Raw genomic sequence first — 22,776 nt, 5'->3', positions numbered from 1 at the left:
CGCTGTCCGCGCGTCTCATCCGCACCTGGAGGGCGCGTCTCCCACCGCGGGCGGGGCGGGCTGGACGCGGGGCCTGGGAGGGGGGAAGACGCAGGATCAGCGGCAGCGCGAACCCACAGCCCTGCAGGGTCCCCGCGCCTGGGCACGGACGCGTTTCGCACAGGAGGAGGCTCTAGCGTAAGCGCCGGGAGCGCTCGGAGCCCGGGCCATCTCGAGACACCTGAGGGCCTGGGGTGAGCCCAGCGCCCCACGACCCCTACCTTGTCCCCATCCCCCCGCCCCCCGCCCTCCACGCCCCGCCCCCCCGCCCTCCACGCCCCGCCCCCACGCCCCGCCCCCGCCCCCACGCCCCGCCCCCGCCCTCCACGCCCCGCCCCCCGCCCTCCACGCCCCGCCCCCCCGCCCTCCACGCCCCGCCCCCCCGCCCGCCCCGCCCCGCCCCGCCCTCGCCGGGCGCCCGCGTGGCGGGAACTCAGGAACGCGCCGCCGTCCCGCTGCTTCTCAGGGCTGAGCCAGGGACGCTTTGTCTTCGCGTCTGAATGACGGATTGACGGCCGTTTGCAGCGGCTCTGAAGCGAGTGCGGACGGTCTTAGGACGGTTTCCCTGACGGATGCGCTTCCGGGGGAGAAGTGAGGGGGGCACGGGGCGGTACTGGGGGCCCAGGGCCAAAGACGGGGAAGCAAGCGGCCTCTGGGGAGTGGTGGGCGGTGAGCAGCGGGGCGGGGGGGTGCACGCCGGTGGGAGAGGGCAGGGGAGGTGGGAGGAGGGAGGAGGGTGGGAGAGAGGGCGGGGGAGGGGGGAGGACGGCGGGGGAGGACCCCGGGATGGGAGCCGACACCCACAAGCCCCAGGTCCCTGGCCCAGCCTCACCCCAGGCGTCCATTCGTCCACAGCCAGGAGAGACACACAACATCGCCTGGGGCCACCTGCCCGAAGGTGCCCGGGAACACCCACGAAAACACAGAAACCTGGGCTTCGTTATGCAGGAGTTTTGTTCCTGAAGATGGCATTGCTTGCGACCTCCCTCCCCACCCCACTCCTTTCTCCGGGAACATGAACGTCTCTGGATTTCTCAATCTCTGAATTTGCCAACACCACGAAAATTCACACCCGATGCTTTGCAAGAGCTGCTATTTATAGGAGCGCTGGGTTTCAGTGGCTTCTCTCCAGAGTTGCAAAGTCACTCTCTAATGCAGCTGTTTCATCAGGCACCGCCCCGTGTCCTGGGCATCTGGTCTTTTTACATTCCTTTGGGTGCACCCATAATATTCTACTGGGGGCCGGAAGAGAGAATTTTGGGCTCCAATTTAGCTTCATCATGCAGAATCGACCTTCCTTTTACAAACTCATCCAGCCATCCACTCACTGTTTGTGTGAACTCAGCAAGTTACTGAACCCCCCAGGCTCAGTTTCCCCATTTGTAAGATGGGGCCGAGCAGCCCTTATGACGAGTCCGGGGAATTGTGAAGTCCCCGGTGCATGAATGTCACCGCGAATGTTGGCTGTATGATCACCAGTCACTCAGCAGCACTTGTGTGCACCTGCATGGGGGCCCCGGGCCCACCAGACTCGGAGGTGACCAATCTCAGTGCTGGTGAGAAGGGCTATGACAGGGGCCCTCCAGGGCACTGGCCCTGAGCCCACATCCCAGGCAGCAGTTAAAGCTGCCAAGGAGAGTGAAAAAAGCCACCCAGGAGCAACCCAGGGCTGGGTCTTGATGGGATGAATAGGAGTTTTCCAGGTAGAAGGTGGGGGAGAGGGACTCGTATGCAGTGGAGTCAGGAGTCATTCTCAGGGACAGGTGGAGTGCAGTGGTCTCTAGGAAGAGACAGGTGCCTCATACCACATAGAACAATTAGTTTAAAGTGGGTTAAAGACCTAGATGTAGAAATTCAAACTATAAATCACTGAGAAGACATGGGGTGAATCTTTTTGAGCTTGGTTTACTTAGATATGACCCAAAAAGCACAGAAACAAAAGAAAAAGATAGATAAACTGAATTCCTCAAAATCAACAAATTTTGTGCTTCAAAGGACACCATCAAGAAAACCAAAAAACAATCTGCAAAATGGGAGAACATATTTGCAAATCACTTGTCTATAAGAGACTTGTATCTGGCATATATAAAGGGGGTTATATTACACAAAGAACAATTGCAACTTGACAACGAAAAGACAAGCAGCTCAATTAAAAAATGGCAAAGGGGCCAGGCGCAGCGGCTCACGCCTGCAATCCCAGCACTTTGGGAGGCTGAGGCGGGCGAATCATGAGGTCAGGAGATCGAGACCATCCTGGCTAACACGGTGAAACCCTGTCTCTACTAAAAATACAAAAAAAATTAGCCACACATGGTGGCGGGCGCCTGTAGTCCCAGCTATTTGGGAGGCTGAGGCAGGAGAATGGCGTGAACCCGGGAGGCGGAGCTTGCAGTGAGCTGAGATCGCACCACTGCACTCCAGCCTGGGTGACAGTGTGAGACTCTGTCAAAAAAAAAGCAAAGGATATGAGTAGACATTTCTCCAAGCTGATGCACAAATGACTGATCAACACAAAAACATGCTCCACATAAGTAGCCCTCAGGGAAATGCACCCACTAGGGTGGCTACAATCTCTATTAATAATTTTGTTTAACTGGAAAACAGCAAGTGTTGGTGGGGATGTGGAGAAATTGGAAACTTCATTCATCGCTGGAGGGAATGTAACATGGTGCGGACACCGTGGAAAACAGTCGGGCAGTTGTTCCAAACGTTACACAGAGTTGTCACATGACCCAGCAATTCTGCTCCCACATATATGCCCAAGAGAACTGAAAGTGTGTCCACATTAAAAACCTGTCCACAAATGTTCATAGCAGCATTATTAATAATACCCCGATGTGAAATTAACCTACATGTCCATCAACTGATGAAACATGGGCTGCATCCATCCAACGGAATATTATCCGGCCATAAAAAGGAATGACATCGAGTTGAAGGCAGGGTCTTGAGGAGATATTTGCACACCCATGTTGCATGTTCATTGCAGCATCATTCATGAGAACTGAGAGGTGGAGGAACCCTGTGCGCTGAAATTGGGGCTGGCCGAGCCAGGTAGGAGGTGGACAGGCTCCCTGGCGGCTCTCCAGGGACGTCCTTCAGGGACAGCTTCGAGGACGTCCCATGAGCAGTGCCCATGTGGTCAAGGGCTTCAGTACCCGGCAGCAGCTCTCAGCCACCTTGACCATGAGCAAGGAGAGGACATATCTGGTGCCTCAAAAGAACATCTTTGCCTAAAGCTCATCTGGGAGAGAGAGCAAGCAGACTGCAAATTTCTGAAACTGCTTGAACCAAGTGCATGAATTTGGTGCATCCTGAAGTCCCTCTGCCCAGAGAGGGCTGCTAGTCTGTGCATGGCAGGATGGACCGCTGCTCTGAGTCACCTTTGCTGAGCAGCCAAGGCTGGGCTTCCCTTGGAATTGCTTCCGGAATGAGATATTCAGGGCCAGTCCTTGGCTGTAGTTTCTAGACTTCTCCTCGACAGGGCAGCTCCTTGGTGCAGCTCCTGCTGCACTGCTGGCCCCGGTCTGGCTCTCTTGGTGGCTGTGGCCACCCGTGCCATTGCATGGTCCTAACAGTCTCTGTGTATATTCAGCTTGCTTCCTGCTGTGGGGCCCCACTCCTACTGCAGAACTCAGCCCCTGGTTCAATGCTGACCTTTGTACCCCAGTCCCTTAACTACGCAGGCATCTTCCTGTGTGTGTGGTGTTTTGTAGGTATACATCTCTCTTTCAGCAGCTAGCTGAAGTATGATTTGCATACAACAAGCCGCATTTATCTAAAGTGTTATCAGTTGATATGTTTTGCCTTTTGCAAATGACACCAAAAGCATCACCACAATCGAGATAATAAACAGACCCCCCCAAGCCTCCAGTGCCGCTTACCTTCCTCCCGCCCTCTCCCTCCACTCTCTCTCTGCAGCCCACTGACCTGCCTTCTGTTTTCATAGGTGATATAGTTTGGATCTGTGTCCCCACCCAAATCTCATGTCAAATTGTAATCCCCAATGCTGGAGGTGGGGCCTGGTGGGAGGTGATTAGATCGTGGGAGTGGTTTCTCATGGTTTGGCACCATCCCCACTGGGAACTCTCATCGTCATAGTGAGTTCTCATGAGATCTACTTGTTTAAAAGTGTGTGGCACCTCCCCTCCCCCCTCTTGCTCCTGCTCTAGCCACGTGACCTGACCTGCCAGGTCCCCCTTTGCCTTCCGCCATGATTGTAAGTTTCCTGAGGCCTCCCTAGAAGCAGAAGCCACCATGCTTCCTGTACAGCCTACAATTAAGCCCTCCCTTTTTTTTTTTAAATAAATTACCCAGTCTCAGATATTTCTTTAGAGCAATGCAAGAACCAACTAACACGATAGGTCAGTTTATATCTCCTTACGTTTTGAACACATGGAATCTCTTACAGTGTTTACTCTGTCATGTTGTGCCTGCTTCTTTGAGATTCTTTCATGTTGTGTGTGCGAATAATTCACTCCTTTTCATGACTGATTGGACCTCCACTGGTTGGATATAACACGGATTATCTGTTTCCACATCGATGGACATTGGGGTTGTTCCCAGTCTGAGACCATTACAGATAAAGCAGCCATGGGCATCCTTCATAGGGACAGGCAGTTTCATACTTCCCAGTGAAAGGCCTAGGAGAGGAATCATACAGCAGGTGTGTGTTAACCTTTTCAGAAACTCAGTAACAAGAATACAAAACTTTTTCAGAAACTACAAAACTGTCTTCCAAAGCAGCTGCACCATTTTGCTTTCCCAGCGTCAGTGATGGGAGATCCAGTTCCTCCATGTCCCCAGCAGCCATTGGTATAGCCATTGTTTTTAATGTAGTGCTGGAATAGGCATGCAGTGGCAGCTTGCTGTGCTTTTAGTTTGCATTTCTCTGATGATGGACGTGCTGAGAGTGCTTTCAGGTGCTTCTTTGCCACTTTTTTTTTTTTTTTTTTGAGATAGAGTCTCACTCTGTCGCCCAGGCTGGAGTGCAGTGGCGTGATCTCGGCTCACTGCAATCTCCACCTCCTAGTTTCAAGCAATTCTTCTGCCTCAGCCTCCTGAGTAGCTGGGATTACAGGTGCCCGCCACCACACCTGGCTAATTTTTTTTTGTATTTTTAGTAGAGACAGGGTTTCACCATGTTGGTCAGGCTCATCTCAAACTCCTGACCTCAGGTGATCCACCTGCCTCAGCCTTCCAAAGTGCTGGAATTACAGCCATGAGCCACCACTCTCAACCTCTTTGCCACTTCTATGTCTTCCTTGAAGTGTGTGTTCCAATCTTTTGCCCATTTTTAGTTGGGTTGTTGGTTTTCCTGCTGTTGAGTTTAAAGAGTTCTTGATATATTCTACTTACACATCCTTTATTGGATATACAATTTGCAAATATTTTGTTGGTCTATGGCTTGCCTTTTTATTCTTTTAGCATCTTTAGAAGAACAAAAGTTTATTCTACTTAATGAAGTACGATTTATTCTTTTTTCTCATATAGATTGTGCTTTTCCTATTGTATCTAGAAAATCTTTACTTTGAGAGTACAAAGATTTTCTACTGTTTTCTTCACTAATATTTATATTTTTACTTTTATACCTAGATCTATGATTAATTTTCAGTTAATTTTTTTCATGATGTGAAATACTGATCAAAGTTATGGTTTTGCATGTGGATATACAATTGTCATAGCACCATTTGTTGAAAAGACCATCTTTTCTCAGCTGAATTGTCTTGACTCTTTTGTTAAAAATTAATTCATCAAGAATTATTCACAATAGCCAAGAGGTTAAACCAACCCAAATGTCCATCGTCTGGTGAGCAGAAAAATAAATGTGAAACATGCTTACAGTGGGACATAATTCAGCCTTAAAAAGGAAGGAAATTCTCACACATGTTGCAGCGTGAATGAATCTAGGGGTTCATCTTCATAAAATGAGTCAGTCACTAAAAGACAAATACTATCTGACTCCACTAACATGAGGTTTTCTAAGTGGTCAAATTCATATGAACAGAGAGTAGAATGCCGGTTACCAGCGACTAGGGGAGGGAAAATGGGGAGTTGTTGTTTAATGGTACAGAGTTTCAGCTTTGCAAGATGAAAAAGTTTTGGAGATTGGTTGCACAACATTGTGAATATATTTAACACTACTTAAATATACGCTTAAACATGATTAAGGCCTGGTGCAGTAGCTCACACCACTTTGGGAGGCCGAGGCAGGAAGATCACTTGAGCCCAGGAGTTCAAGACCAGCCTGAGCATCATAGTGAGACATCGTGTCTTACTAAAAGAAAAAAGAAAAAAAAAAAAAACAGTTAGCCAAGCACAGTGGTTCCACCTACTCGGGAGGCAGAAGTGGGAGGATCACGTGAGCCCAGGAAGTTGAGGCTGCAGTGAGCCATGATCATGCCACCACACTCCAGCCTAGGTAACAGAGTAAGACTGTGTCTCAGAAAAAATGATTAAGGTGGTACATTTTATGCTATGCATTTTTTAACCACAATTAACCACGTATCTGTGAATCGGTTTCTGTCCTCTATGTTGTCCTGCCGACCTACTGTTGATATTGACATCATCAGTGCCACAGTGGCTTGATGACTGTAATTTTATAATATCTCTTGAAATAAATTAGCATAACTCTTCCAATTGTATCCTTCTTTTTCTTTTTTCTTTTTTTTTTTTTTGAGACAGAGTCTCACTCTGTCACCCAGGCTGGAGTGCAATGGCGCGATCTCAGCTCACGGCAACCTCCAACTCCCTGGTTCAAGCAATTCCCTTGCTTCAGCCTCCCAAGTAGCTGGGATTACAGGCACACGCCACCATGCCTGGCTAATTTTTTTGTATTTTTTAGTGCAGATGGAGTTTCACCATGTTGGCCAGACTGGTCTCGAACTCCTGACCTCAGGTGATCCACCTGCTTTGGCCTCCCAAAGTGCTGGGATTACAGGTGTGAGCCACCGCACCTGGCCATTCTTCTTTTTCAAAGTTGTTTTGGATTTTCTAGATCTGTTGCATTTTCATATGAATTTCAGCAACAATTTATCAATCCCTTAAAAAGAGCCACTGGGATTTTGGTTGGAGTTGTATTGACTCTCTAGACCAATAAGGGGAGAATTAACATCTTAAAGATATTGAGTCTTAACATGAACAAAATGTATCTTTCCATTTATTTAGCTATTCTTTAATCCCTCAGCCATATTTTGTAAAAAAAATTTTTTTTTTTTTTGAGACGGAGTCTTGGTCTGTCGCCCAGGCTGGAGTGCAGTGGTGCCATCTTGGCTCACTGAAACCTCCGCCTCTGGGGCTCAAGGGACTCTTGTGCCTCAGCCTCCTGAGTAGCTGGGATTGCAGGCATGTGCCACCATGCCTGGCTAATTTTTTTGTATTTTAATAGAGACAGGGTTTCACCACGTTGCCCTGGGTGGTCTCAAACTCCTGAGCTCAGGTGATCTGCCCACCTCTGCCTCCCAAAGTGCTGGGATTACAGTCGTGAACCACCACTCCCAGCCTACAATTTTCAATATATAAGTTTTGCACATTTTTGTCAGATTTATTTCTAAGTATTTAAGTTTTTGATGTTACTGTTAATAGAATTGCTTTTTATTTAATGTATGATTGTTTATTACTGTAGAAATACAACAGATTTTTTTTTACTTCCCTTAAAGTATGCAAACTTGCTAAACTCACTAATTACTTCTAGTAGCTACTGCATTCTACAGATTTTGTAGGATTTTCTACATAGGCAATCATTTGTCTGTGAATGAAAACAGTTTTACTTATTTTTCAATTGGGCACTTTTTTTTCCTTTTTCTTGCCTGATTGGCCTGTTTCCAGCCTGCATTGCAATTTTTAGTAGAAGTAATTAAAGTGGACATCCCTGCCTTGTTCCTGATCTTAGGGGAAAGCATTCCTTCTTTCACTATTGGGTACAATGCCAGCTGTATGTTTTTTTGCAGATGCCCTTTATCAGATTGAGGGAATTCCCTTCTATTCCTATTTTGCAGAAAGCTAATATCTGGAATGGATTTTGGATTTTGTCAAATGCTTTTTCCGCCTCTATTCCGATGATCATCTGGTTTTTCTATTAACGTGGTAAATTACTTTGCAGGATAATTTGCAAGTGTTAAACCACTCTTGCATTCCTGAAATAAATGCCACTTTGTCATGATGTATTATCCTTACTATACACTGATAAATTCATTTTGCTCGAATTTTTGTTGAGAATTTTGCTTGTGGGTTTGTGAAGGCTGTTGGTTTGCTCTTTTCTTTTCTTACCATGTATTTGTCTGATGATAGTACCAGCATATGCTATAGCCTTATGGAATGAGTTGGAAAGTATTTCCTCCTACACTATTTTCTGGAACAGTCTCTGTAAAATTGGTGTTATTTCTTTCTCAAATATTTGTATATGTTTGAGACTTATTATTTGGGACTCACCAGTGAAGACTTTGAGTCTGGAGTTTTGTTTGTAGAAAGGTTTTTTTTTTTTTTTTTTTAACTTCTTTAGTAGATAAATGAATATTTTTTCTATTTTTTCTTGAGTGAGTTTTGATAATTTATGTCATTCAAGAAATGCGTCTATTTCATTATGTTTAACTTAAGTAAAGCTGTTCATAACATTCCCTTATTATTCTTTTAATGTCTGTAGAATCTGTAATGATGCCTCCTTTCTCATTGCTGGTGCTAGCAATTTGTGTTTTCTGTCTTTTTTTTTTTCCTGGTCAGTCTACCCAGAGGTTTATCAATTTTATTGACCTTCTCAAAAATAAGCTTTTGTTTTTATTGATTTTCTCTGTGGTCTTTCTGTTTTCTAGTTCATTTGATTTCTGCTATGACCTTTACGTATCACTTTCTGCTTCCTTAGAATTTAATTTTCTCTTCTTTTTCTAATGTCCAAAGAAAAATGCTAATATCAGTTATTTCAGACCTTCCCTCTTTTTTAATGTAGATATTTAGTGCTATGAATTTCCCCTTAAATACAGCATTAGCTGCGTCCCACAAAACATAATATATGTTTTTATCTTCATTCAATGCAAAATACTACCTAATTTTCCTTTTGATTTCTTCTTTGATGCATGGGATATTTAGTAGTATGTTAGTTTCCAAATATAACGGGAATTTTGCAGATCACTTCTTACTGTTGATTTCTAATTTAATTCCATTTTGGCTAGAGAACGTACTCATTTTAGACTTCTTTTCTGGCCCAGAATGTAGTCTATCTTGATACACGTTCAGTGTATTCTGCTGGTCTTGGGTGGAGTTTTCTATAAATATCAGCTGGATCAAGTTGTTTGATAGTGTTGTTCAAATCTTTTCTACCTGTACTAAGGTTCTCTGTTTGTTTTATGGAATGCTGAGAAAAGATTGTTGAAATCTCCAGCTACAGTTGTGAATTTGTCTGCTTCTCCTTGCAGTTCTATCAGGTTTTGCTCTTTTGAAGCAAAACTTCAAAAGTATTTTGAAGCTGTATAACTAAGTGTACAAACGTTTAGGATTTATATGTCCTCTGATTTGTTTCTCCCATTATCATTATAAAATGGCCCACTTATCCCTGGCAACATGAAGGCAAAACACTTTCGAGTACTCTACTCAGTATCCTGTCAATTCTGTGGTTTTTCACTCTAAATGGTGGGAATAGGAACTATTCCTGGCCCTGTGTTAGCTAACAATGTTATTTCTGAAATTCTTTCCTTGGCTGGCTTCACCAGATGCATGTACTCATCAGTACTGAGCTGAAGATGCAAGGAGGAGCCTCTGTAGGCCTCTGCTCCTCTTTCACTGTGCAGCTCTCTCCTCCCTGGCACTCGGCCCTGAGAACTCCAGCTTTCCTGTCCTCCTTGGACTCCCAGCGAAGTCTCCTCAGCTCAAGGAGACCACGTGTCTTTGCCTATGTTACACATCCCTGTGCTGCAGCCTGGAAATTCTAGGTGGTGCACAGAGGCAATCACAGGGCTCACCTCATTTGCTTTCTCTCTCGGGGGTTGCTGAACTTTACTGCCTTTTACATCTGATGTCTTGAAAACTGCTGCTTAAGATATTTTCCTGGATTTTATAAACATATGCAAGTGGTTCTGTGAACACCGACTTTATTGTCTCTCTGCACTGCACAGTGTCCCAGAGTGCATATTTATCACATTTTGTTTATTCATTCTTCTAAAGACGAATAATTAGGCTACCAATTTCTGCTACACAAACAGCTGTGCAAAAACAGCCTTGAATGCATTCCCCGGTGAGTCAGTGTGAGCATGTTTACAGGATATGCTCTCGAGAGACAGCGCTCACAGGGCACATTTACTTTCACTAAGCACGTCCATATTACTTCTCAGAGATCCTCTGCCAGTTCCTACTCAGGGATGCAAGAGCCTCCCATCTCCTCAACTCTCATCCAAACTTGATTTCCAACCCCTTTCTAATTTTTACTATTCTGAGGGATGTAAAGTGGTATGTCAGTGTTGTTTTCTTTATCATATTGTGAGAAAACATTTTAAATGGTCCATTTTCAAGGCATGATAAATCTAAGCACTGGCAGCCAGCCTGAGGATGTAACAAACCACACGGCTCATGCGCCTGGAAGGTCACGATAAGCGAACAGAATGTAGAGGAGGGGTCAGCCCATAAAAGGGAAGAAAGTTTTGTTATTGGAAAATCAAAACTTAAGCGGGGAAGGGGACGGGGTATAACCTTATAAGGGGGAAAATGAAACTCAGGTGACATTGGGGAAGGTTGTAAACCCATAGTACTTGACCAATGAGGACCTGGGGGAGGGCTTGTGTGCTAGGAGATCAATTACCTGCTGTAACTGCCCGGGGTGTGCCTGCCTACCAGACACCCGGTCTTGCAAGACTGCCATTAAAAGTCTTGCTGGCCGGGCGCAGTGGCTCATGCCTGTAATCCCAGCACTTTGGGAGGCCGAGGCCGGCGGATCACGAAGTCAGGAGATAGAGACCATCCTGGCTAACACGGTGAAACCCCGTCTCTATTAAAAATACAAAAAAATTAGCCGGGCGCGGTGGTGGCACATATTAAACACTCGAAGGTGTTTTGTATCATTATCACTCAAGAATCCCACTAACGTTATGCAGAAAACTTGTCTGGGGCTCTTGGTACATTAGAATGTTCCATGACTACTCAGACCCGTGTGTGCCATTATGAGTTGAAATCTAGAAATAGAAAGATCAAGGGGAGTGGAACGCCCATGACAACGTGGAACGGGGCTGGAAGCAATGACGGTTCCACAGGCAGATGACCTCACTCAGGTGATTCACAGGGTCAATGTGCATGCATATCAAGCTCTGGATGTTGGCATCTGCTATCTAAGGGAATGGGAGCAATTACTTGGAGCATCTAACATTTAAGTCAGAATTTCCTTTACAGTCTACACTTAGAACATTCACTTAACTCATTCACTTAACTTTGCCCCCCCTCCTTTGTAAACAGTCCATCCATTACAATCTTTCCAGTCATCTTTTCCAGCTATCTTCATATTATTGATTTCTAATTTTAACGTAACTGTGGTCTAAGAGTACAACAGAAATATATCTGGCTGGACCCCAGGCCTCCAGAATTGCCCCTTCTTTTTTTTTTTTTTTTTTTTTTTTTGAGATGAAATCTCACTCTGTAGCCCAGGCTGGAGTGCAGTGGCACGATCTCAGCTCACTGCACCCTTGCCTCCCGGGTTCAAGCGATTCTCCTACCTCAGCCTCCTGAGTAGCTGGGATTACAGGCATCTTCCACCACACCCGGCTAATTTTTGTATTTTTAGTAGAGACAGGGTTTCACCATGTTGGTCAGGCTGGTCTTGAACTCCTGACCTCGTGATCAGCCCGCCTCAGCCTCCCGAAGTGCTGGGATTACAGACGTGAGCCACCACACCCTGCCGCCCCTTCTTTAATTATCTTGACAAAGATGTCATCTCTGCTTACCTCTAAGGCCACACCACTCCACTCCTTAAAGCCCCATGATACGGCTCATTGTTATACATTGTGATGGTTCCTGATGCTCCACGCTAGCATTGAAAACCCTCTTTCTGGCCTACCTCACTCTTATTCTTCCACCCATTCGCCCCGCTGCCTTTCTCCCGCGTTTGGTCTGCTGGACACCTTTCTGCCGCGTTTGGTCTGCTGGACGCCTTTCTCCTGCATTTGGTCTGCTGAATGCCTTTCTGTCATGTTTGGTCTACCAAGTGGCTCTCCTTTGCTCATGGAGGGTATCTCCTGACACCTCAGTGGCTGCTCAAACTTTCTGAGATGGATCAGAGGAGAGGCAACAGTTTTTCCTGATTTTATCCTTTCCAAACATGATGTAGACGCTGAATTCATCAAATATTTATTGGATTAATTCCATTAAGAATTGCTTTTCTGTTTGGCATAAGGTAGAGGTGCAAATGGATTTTTTTCATACGTACAATTAATTGTTGTGGAGCATGTATTGAAAAATATTTCCTTTCCAAACTGTTCAACAGTGACTGTACTCTGATAAATCAAATAGTCATGTTCTGTTGCACTGGTGAAATTTGTCTATCCCCATATCACAGTCTTAATTATAGTTTTATAATACATTTTTATATCTCCTCTGACATTTTCCTTCCACTGCCTCCTTCTCCTTTTCTTTCTTTTATGTTTTGGCTATTATTCAGCCTTTGGTTTTTTTGTATGAATTTTAGAATCCATTTGTTAAATTCCTTTTAAAAACATTTATGGAGTTTTAATGGAAATTGCTTTTTGCAGAATGATTTAGGGGAGAATTGACATATTTTTAATACTGACTCTTTCTATCCATGAATCTGGTTTATAGTCCTCAATTTATTCAGGTCTTCATTAATGTCTTTCAATAAAGTTTTATAATTTTTCCTTCACACTTTTGCCCACTTTGAAAATATCTTATTTTCTGTTCCCTCCTTATTTGTGTTGCTTTTTTCAGTGATACATTACAAAATTGTATCTTCTGGTTATGGCTGATATTTGGATGCATGTGTAGTATAGTTTCTCAATTCACTCTCTGTCTTTCTCTGCCTTTCTTTGTGACCCAGGAACCTGGTGTCTAACAAGCTGCATCACCTGGTTAGGCTAATGAGAGGCACCTGCAGGAGATGAGCGGCGAGGAGAGAGGTCAGAGTTCTCTATTTCCTGAGATCCCTCCTTGTAGGCTTGTGGTTTGGCAGTGACTTTATTCCTCTATGTGAGACCACAACTTCCCCCAAATAAGTCCCTTTCTCTGGTAACTATGACCTTCCCTTGTCCTTTCAAGGCCAGGAGTGGTAGCAGCTTCCTGAAGCTAAAAATGTCCCGAGGCTTCACTACACCTTGTTCATTCACTGAACTCTGCCCCTCCTTTGTAAAGAGTCCATTCATTACAATCTTCCCAGTCATCTTTTCCGGCTTTCTTTATATTATTGATTTCTCATTTAATTTAACTGTGGTCTGATCTTACTGTACTATGGTTTTAAATTTGTGAAGGTGTGCTTCATGGCCCAGAATATGGTCTATCTTAGTAAATATTCCATGAGAGCTTGAGAAAAATGTGCATTTTGCTGTTGTTGGGTGATTTAATCTATAGGAGTCCATTATATTCAGCTGATTGATGGTCCTGTGGAGTTCAGCTATGTCCTTACTTATTTTCTGCTGGCGGTATCTGTCTATTTCTGACAAAGGGTGTTGACGTCTCTAAAGTGTATTCCTCAGTTTTAATTAGTCTTTGTTGTTGTTGTTGTTTTTGTTTGTTTGTTTTTTGAGACAGAGTCTCACTCTGTTGTCAAGGCTGGAATGCAGTGGCCTGATCTCGGCTCACTGCAACCTCCACCCTGCAAGTTCAAGCGATTCTCCTGCCTCAGCCTCCCAAGTAGCTGGGATCACAGGTGCCTGCCATCGTGCCCAGCTAATTTTTGTATTTGTAGTAGAGATGGGTTTTCACCATCTTGGCCAGGCTGGTCTTGAACTCCTGACCTCGTGATCCACTTGCCTTGGCCTCCCAAAGTGCTGGGATTATAGGTGTGAGCCACCGCACCCGGCCGATTAGTTTTTTCCTCATGTATTTTGATGTGCTGTTTTTAGACAGATATGTTTTAAGGATCGTTATATCCTCTTGGAGAAGTGATTCCTTTATCATCACGTAATATCCTTCTTTATCCCTAATAATTTTCCTTGCTCTGAAGTTTGCTCTGTCTGAAATTAGTATAGCTACTCTAGTTTTCTTTTTCATCATGGTATATCTTTCTCTTTCCATTTACCTTTAATCTATATATGTCTTTTTATTTATTTATTTATTTATTTATTTATTATTTATTCATTTTGAGACAGAGTTTCATTCTTGTTGTCAAGGCTGGAGTGCAATGGCGTGATCTCAGCTCACCGCAACCTCCACCTCCTGGGTTCAAGCGATTCTCCTGCCTCAGCCTCCCAAGTAGCTGGGATTACAGGCATGCACCACCATGCCCGGCTAATTTTGTATTTTTAGTAGAGACTGGGTTTCTCCATGTTGGTCAGGCTGGTCTTGAACTCCTGACCTCAGGTGATCTACCACCTTGGCCTCCCAAAGTGCTGGGATTACAGGAGTGAGCCACCGCACCCGGCCTATATATGTCTTTATATTTAAAGTGAGTTTCTTGTAGTCACCATATAGTTGGGTCTTATTTTTTAATCCACTTTGACAATCCCTGTCTTTAATTGGTATTTTTAGACTATTGATGTTTAAAATGATTATTGCTATAGTTGGATTAATATCTACCATGTTTGTTGCTATTTTCTATTTGTTGCCTGATATGGTTTGGCTGTGTCCCCACCCAAATCTCATCTTGAATTGTAGCTCCCATAATTCCCACATGTTGTGGGAGGGACCCGGTGGAGTTAATTGACTCATGGGGGTGGTTTTGCCCACACTGTTCTCGTGGTAGTGAATAAGTTTTATGAGATCTGATGGTATTTTAGTGGAAACCCCTTTCATTTGGTTTTCCTTCTCTCTCTTGCCTGCCACTATGTAAGACATGCTTTTGCCTTCTGCCATGATTGTGAGGCCTCTCCAGCCATGTGGGACTGAGAGTCCATTAAACCTCTTTTTGTATATAAATCACCCAGTCTCAGGTATGTTCTTCATCAGCAGCATAAAATCAAACTAATACATTGCCCTTGTTCTTTGTTACTATTTTTGTCTCTACTCTTTTTCTGCCTTTTGTGGTTTTTACCAAGAATTTTATATGATTCCATTTTCTCTCCTTTCTTAGCATATCAATTATACTTCTTTTTAGATTACTTTTTTTTAATGGTTGCCCTAGAGTTCACAATATACATTTACAACTAACATAAAAGTCCTCTTTCAAATAAAACTATACTGTTTCATGAATAGTGCAAGTATGTTATAATAACAACATAATTCTAATTATTCCCTTCCAGCCCTGCATTATTGCTTTATTTTGTGTAATTACTGTGTAATTACACTTACACTTAAACTATAATCATCAAATATATTGTTGCTATTATTTTGAACAAGCTATTATCTGTTAGATGAACTAAGAATAAGAAAAAGCTATTTTACCCTCAATTATTTCTTCTCAGATGCTCTTCCTTTCTTTATGTGGATCTGAGTTTCTGACCTGTATTATTTTCCTTGTGTCTGAAGAACTTCTTTTAGCATTTCTAGCAAGGCAAGTGTACTGGCAACAAATTCTCTCGATTTTTGTTTGCCTGAGAAAGTCTGTGTTTCTGCATTACTTGTGAAGGATTTTCACAGGATACAGAATTCTAGCTTGGTTCAGTTTTATTTTCCTTTCAACACTTTAAATATTTCACTCTACTTTCCTCTTACTTGCATGGTTTCCAAGGAGAAGTCAGATGGAATCATTATCTTTGCCCCTCTATAGGTGTATTACTCTAGCTTCCCTCAGGGATCTTTCACTTTCTGTAGGTTGCATATGATATAACTAGGTATAGTTATTTTGTATTGTTTTTGTTTTTTGTTTATCCTTCTTGGTGTTCTCTGATCCTCCTGAATCTGTTGTTTGGTGTGTGACAATTAGTTAGGAGAAATTCTCAGGCATAATTACCTCAAATGTTGCTTCTGTTCTTTTTTTTTTTTTTTTTTTTTGAGATGGAGTCTTGATCTTGTTGCCTAGGCTGGAGTGCAATGGTGTGATCTTGGCTCACTGCAACCTCCACCTCCCAGGTTCAAGTGATTCTCCTGCCTCAGTCTCCTGAGTAGCTGGGATTACAGGTGTCCACCACCAAGCCTGGCTAATTTTTGTATTTTTATTTTATTTTATTTTTTTTGAGACGGAGTCTCACTCTGTTGCCCAGGCTGGAGTGCAGTGGTGTGATCTCAGCTCACTGCAAGCCCTGCCTCCTGGGTTCACGCCATTCTCCTGCTTCAGCCTCCTGAGTAGCTGGGACTACAGGCGCCCGCCACCACGCCCGGCTAGGTTTTTTTTGTATTTTTAGTAGAGACAGTGTTTCACCGTGTTAGCCAGGATGGTCTCGATCTCCTGACCTCATGATCCACCCGCCTCGGCCTCCCAAAGTTCTGGGATTACAGGCGTGAGCCGCTGCACCCGGCCCTGTTCCTTTCTTTCTTCTCCTGCCGGTATTCCCATTCCCATTACACATATTTACACCTCTGTAGTTGTCCCACAGTTCTTGGATATTCTGTCCTGTTTTTTTCAGGCTTTATTAATGTAGCCTCAAGTTCAGAGATTCTTTCCTCAGCCATGTCCAGCCTACTAATAAGCTCATCAAAGGGAATTTTAATTTTTATAGCCACTATTCTTATCTTTAGCATTTCTTTTTTATTCTTTCTTAGAATTTTCATCTCTCTGCCTTCATTTTCCATCTGTTCTTGCACGTTGTCTACTTTATCCACTAGGGCCCTTAGCATGTTAATCATGGTTGTTTTAGATTCATGATCTGATAATTCCAACATTGCTATCACACCAGGGTCCAGCTCAGTTCTGGTGCTTATTCCATCTCTGCAAATGGCATTTTTGTTTCTTTGTTTTGTTTTTGACTTTTAGTACGCCTTGTAATTCTTTGTTGAAAGGCAGACATGATTCACTGAGTCAAGGGAACTACAGTAAATAGGCCTTTAGTAACATAGTGGTGAGGTGTGAAGAGAAGGAAAGCATTTTACAGGCCTGCGATTAGGTCTCCCGGTGAGTCTGTCCTGCTGGGTTGTGAACCTCATAAGTGCTTCTCAGGTTTGTTTTTTGTTTTTCACCCCTTTAGGCGGCACAGTGTCCATAAGGGGAGCTGGAGTTGAGGAGTTCCCTCCTCCAACATGGAAAGCTAGAGGGAGCTGGAGCTGGGCATTTTCCTTCCCACAGGTCAGTGAGGTTCTGATAAAACCCCAGTAGGGTAGGCTCTGGTAAACTAGTTTCTGCTGAGGTGAGGCCTTTTTAAGAAGAACAGAATGTTTTAACCTATTTCAAAATGGTTCCTTTTCCTCTCTGCCTGCTGTAAACCCCGGGAGATTTTTCTCTGCTCTTCACTGCGAGAATCTGGTAGAATTCCTGGAGGTAAAACTCACAAAAGCAGAAATTGGGGGGCGCCTCATGACTGTGGGGTGCTGAAGACTGACTCGGTCCTCCTGAAAGAGCAGGGTGAGGGGGGCTGATGACTGTGGGGGGCTGATGACTGCCTAGATCCTCCTGAAAGAGCAGGGTGGGGGGGTCCTGATGACTATGGGGGGGCTGATGACTGTTGTGGGGGCTGATGACTGCCTGGGCCCTCCTCCTCCTGAAAGTTTTCCCTCTCAGACCTGTGGACACTGAGCCTCCAGAAATTTACGAACTACAGTTCAGGTTTTCCTCCTCCAGTGCTGGTTCTTGCAGAGGTGGATCTCCGCTTTGGTAAGTTGTGATTGTCTGTATCCACCTGTTTATCTCTCTAATTTTCGGGGCAGCAGTTTGCCCAGAGAGCTCACTTCTGTGATGGTTCTAAGAAAAGCTGTTGATTTTTCAGGTTTTTTTTTTTTTCAGCTGTTTGCTTGTTGTTAGGTCAGAGCATCAACTTTTTTTTTTTTTTGAGACAGAGTCTCGCTCTGTCACCCAGGGTGGAGGGCAATGGTGCAATCTTGGCTCACTGCAAGCTCCGCCTCCTGGGTTCACACCATTCTCCTGCCTCAGCCTCCTGAGTAGCTGGGACTACAGGTGCCTGCCACCATGCCTGGCTAATTTTTTTGTATTTTAGTAGAAACAGGGTTTCACCGTGTTAGCCAGGTTGGTCTTGATCTCCTGACCTCGTGATCCACCCGCCTTGGCCTCCCAAAGTGCTAGGATTACAGGCATGAGCCACCGTGCCCGGCCCAGAGCATCAACTTTCAAGCCCCTTACATGATGGACCCGATTAGTTATCCTTCTGAGTATGCCATCGGCTTCATAATGGGCCCTTGACTGATACAGTCATTGGTATCGGAATTGGTCCCAAGAAACAGACTCTCAGAATGGGATTCCAGGACTGGATTGCTCATACATTTGATGAACACGGGGATAAATCCTTGCTGGGGGAAACAGAACACTGGGAGCTCACATCACACAGTAGCACCTCAGTTCCTCACGTTCTCATCAACAGCAGCATGGGGCACCATGCACGTGGAGGGAAAATAGATGGGGAATCACATGGCTGAGACACGCAGTTGCTTCAGCAAAAATGGGGATTACAAAGACTGTGGAATGGGCTGGCTTCCTCTGACGGCTCCAGAAAGCGTTCACAAAGGAACAGGACAATTCAAGCTTCGGATGTGCCAATGCCTCCAGCGAAAGACCACTGGGAACACACCTGTAATGGAGCAAGCTGGGTTTATCACTCGTTGCAGTGAAGGAGAGCACACACACACCCTGGAGAACTACAGGTTAACTTCGTAAGAGGGCACCGGAAAGGACTTACAGTGGCATTGGGGCTTGTGGAGGTATTCTGGGGAGGGTTTAAGGAAGTGGGGTTTTGTTCTGGGTTTGATGCAGTCAGGAAGCAGGGGTAGTTCCATGAGTAGGCTTCTTTTTGTTTTTCCTTTTTTTTTTTTTTTTTTCTGTGAAGGAGTTTTGCTGTCCTTACCCAGGCTGGAGTGCAATCGTGCCATCTCAGCTCACTGCAACCTCCGCCTCCTGGGTTCAAGCAATTCTCCTGCCTCAGCCTCCGGAGTAGCTGGGATTACAGGCACCTACCACCACGCCCGGCTAATTTTTTGTATTTTTAGTAGAGACTGGGTTTCACCATGTCGGCCAGGCTGGTCACGAACTCCCGACCTCAGGTGATCTGCCCACCTCGGCCTCCCAAAGTGCTGGGATCACAGGTGTGAGCCACTGCACCTAGCTGATTAGGCTTCTTAGTAATTTTTCTCTAGAAGGAGGGAAGAGTAGGCGGAGGCTAAAGTTGTAGTTAGTAAAGCAGCAGCTGTCAGACTGGCCAGGGTAGGTGATGTGGTCATTTGTCTTGGACAGTATTCAGACGTGATTAGAGAGTGGTGTGTTTTTGTACTGAGGCGTCACAACCACAGACTGGCTTTGTATGACGCGACTCTCCAGCAAAGTCGATATGTTTAACAGAACACGGCGCCCTAACTGGGAGTGCCAGGCCAGCTCATAGCAACACCAAGGCCTCGCTAAAAGAGAGCCTTTTCACCTCTTTCTCTGATGGAAATTGGGAAAGCCTCAGTGCAGACTTGACAGGAACTTCTTATCTACACCACCTTCAGGGCGGATAGGGCTGAGGCACTTAGCAAAGAAAAGGAGAACGTGAAATGGATGGTGGACTAAGGAAGCTATGAGTATCACCACAGGCCTCATCACAGATACAGAAATGGAGAATAGAGCAGTTGTATATTCTGTTTCTGGTTATTGTTTTCCCTAACAAGTCACAGTTGGTAGCTAATGCTTCAATTCTTGCTGTAGGTGGCAATATATCTTAGTTGACCCACCCATGAAAATATGGTGGCGAATGGCACCTTGTATTTCTCCTATGCTGGGAACACAGGGCTTTTTGTCCAGAACAAAGAATAAGAATCTAAGTAAAAAACAGTATAAAGAGACAAAGAAGGTGGCTGGGTGCAGGGGCTCACGCCTGTAATCCCAGCACTTTGGGAGGAGGCGGATGGATCACCTGAGGTCAGGAGTTTGAGACCAGCTTGGCCAACATGGTGAAACTCTGTCTCTACTAAAAACACAAAAGTTAGCTGGGCGTGGCAGCATGTGCCTGTAGTCCCAGCTACTTGGGGGGCTGAGGCAGGAGAATCGCTTGAACCTGGGAGATGGAGGTTGCAGTGAGCCGAGATTGCGCCACTGTACTCCAGCCTGGGCAACAGAGTGAGACTGTGTCAAAAAAAACAAAACAAAACAGAGAGAGAGACAAAGAAGGTTATTATATAATGATAAAGGGATCAACTCAGCAAAAGGACTAGCAATTCTACACAAATATGCACCCAACACCAGAGCACCCAGATATATAAAATCAACACCATTTAATCTAAAGGGAGACGTAGACTCCAATACAATAATAGGAGCGTCAATAGCCCACTCTCAGCATTAGACAGATCATCTAGACAGAAAATTAACAAAGAAACATTGGACCAAATGTAAATTACACACTAGACCAAATGGACCTGACAGATGTTTACAGCACATTCCGTGCAGCAGCTACAGAATACACATTCTTCTCATCAGCTACACAGAACATTCTCCAGGTTCAACCCTATGTCAGAACACAAAACAAGCCTCAACAAGTTTTTAAAAATCAAAATAATATCAAGAACCTTCTCAGACTACAATAGAATAAAAACTAGAAATCAATAACGAGAACTTTGGAAACTGTACAAATACATGGAAATTAAACAATGTGCTCCTGCAGGGTGCAGTGGCTCATGCCTGTAATCCAGCATTTTGGGAAGCCAAGGCGGGGGGATCACCTGAGGTCAGGAGTTTAAGACCAGCCTGGCCAACATGGTGAAACCATGTTCTACAAAAATACAAATATTAGCCGGGCATGGTGGTGGGCGCCTGTAATCCCAGGTACTTGGGAGGCTGAGGCAAGAGAATTGCTTGAACCCGGGAGGTGGAGGTTGCAGTGAGCCAAGACCATGTCACTGCACTCCAGCCTGGGCGACAGAGTGAGACTCCGTCTCAAAAAAAGAAAAAAAACAAAAACAAAAACAAAAAACAATGTGCTCCTGAACAACCACTGGATCAGGAAGGCATTTAGGAGTAAACCAAAAAACTTACTGGAAATAAATGAAAATAAAAGCACAACATAGAAAAAACTATACAGCAAAAGCAGAGCTAAGAGGGAAGTTCATAGCAGTAAATGCTTACCTCAAAAAATAGAAAGATTTTAAATAAATCATCAAATGATGTACCTCAAGGAATTAGAAAAGCAAGAACAATCCAAATCCAAAATTAGTAGAGGAAAGAAATAATAAAGATCAGAGCAGAACTAAACAAAATAAGAGAGTAAAAAGAGCAAAGGATCAACAAAACAAAATGTTGGTTATTTTGAAAAAAAAAAAAGTTGGTTATTTTGAAATGTTGGTTATATTGAAAATCAATAGACCTCTTGCTAGACTAACAAAGAAAAAAGAAAAGAGACTCAAATAAGCATAATCAGAAATTAGAAAGGGGACCATTACATCTGATACCACAGAAGACAAAAAATCATCAGAAACTATTACGAACAACTATACACAATAATGAACTGGAAAACCTAAAGAAAATGGATAAATTCCTAGGCACATACAACTTACCAAGATTGAATCAGGAAGAAACAGAAACCTGGAACAGACCAATAATGAGTAATGGGATTGAATCTATAATAAAAAGTCTCCCAGGCCGGGCGCAGTGGCTGATGCCTGTAATCCCAGCACTTAGGGAGGCCAAGGCAGGCAGATGACGAGGTACAGAGATCGAGACCATGGTGAAACCCTGTCTCTACTAAAAATGCAAAAAAATTAGCCGGTCATGGTGGCAGGCGCCTGTAGTCCCAGCTACATGGGAGGCTGAGGCAGGAAAATGGCATGAACCTGGGAGGCGGAGGTTGCAGTGAGCAGAGATTGCGCCACTGCACTCCAGCCTGGGCGACAGAGCAAGACTCCATCTCAAAACAAAACAAAACAAAACAAAAAAGTCTCCTAATGCAGAAAAGTCCAGGACCAGATGGCTTCACTATCAAATTCGACCAAGCGTTCAGAGAAAAACTAATACCAATTCTCCTCAAGCTATTCCCAAAAAAATTAAGAGGAGGGAATTCTCCCTAACTCATTCTACAAGGCCAGCATCACCATGATACCCAGACAAGTATGTAAGGAGAAAATAAGACTATAGGCCAATGTCCCTGGTGAACATAGACACAAAAATTCTCAATAAAATACTAGCAAACTGAATCCAACAGCACACAAAAAAGATAATATGCCATGACCAAGTGGGAGTTATCCCAGGGATGCAAGGATGGTTCAACATATGTAAATCAATAAACGTGATACATCACATCAACAGAATGAAGGACAAAAATCATATGATCATCTCAATAGATACAGAAAAAAGCATTTAATAAAATTCAACATCCCTTTATGATGAAAACTCTCAACAAACTTGCACAGAAGGAACATACCTCAATATAGTAAGGACCATATCTGGCAAACCCACAGCTAACATCATGCTGAATGGGGAAAAGTTGAAAGCCTTTCCTCTAAGATCTGGAACAAGACAAGGATGCTTACTTTCACCACTTCTATTCAACATAATACTGGAAGTCCTAGCCAGGGCAATCAGGCAAGAGAAAGAAATAA

At 44.2% G+C, this 22,776-nt stretch overlaps 1 long non-coding RNA gene across 1 annotated transcript; it reads left to right on the top strand.

Moving 5' to 3' along the window:
• Nucleotides 1-437: 437 nt before the first annotated feature.
• Nucleotides 438-3,902, top strand: LOC124902606 (uncharacterized). Its single transcript, XR_007062545.1, has 2 exons — nucleotides 438-630; nucleotides 895-3,902. It is a non-coding gene; the product is annotated as an uncharacterized LOC124902606 (long non-coding RNA).
• Nucleotides 3,903-22,776: the final 18,874 nt, after the last annotated feature.

This window comes from Homo sapiens, chromosome 11 (assembly GCF_000001405.40).
Source record: "Homo sapiens chromosome 11, GRCh38.p14 Primary Assembly".
Taxonomy (NCBI): domain Eukaryota; kingdom Metazoa; phylum Chordata; class Mammalia; order Primates; family Hominidae; genus Homo; species Homo sapiens.
The sequence above is the reverse complement of the archived record's forward strand: the minus strand, read 5'-3'. Positions and strand labels throughout refer to the sequence as shown.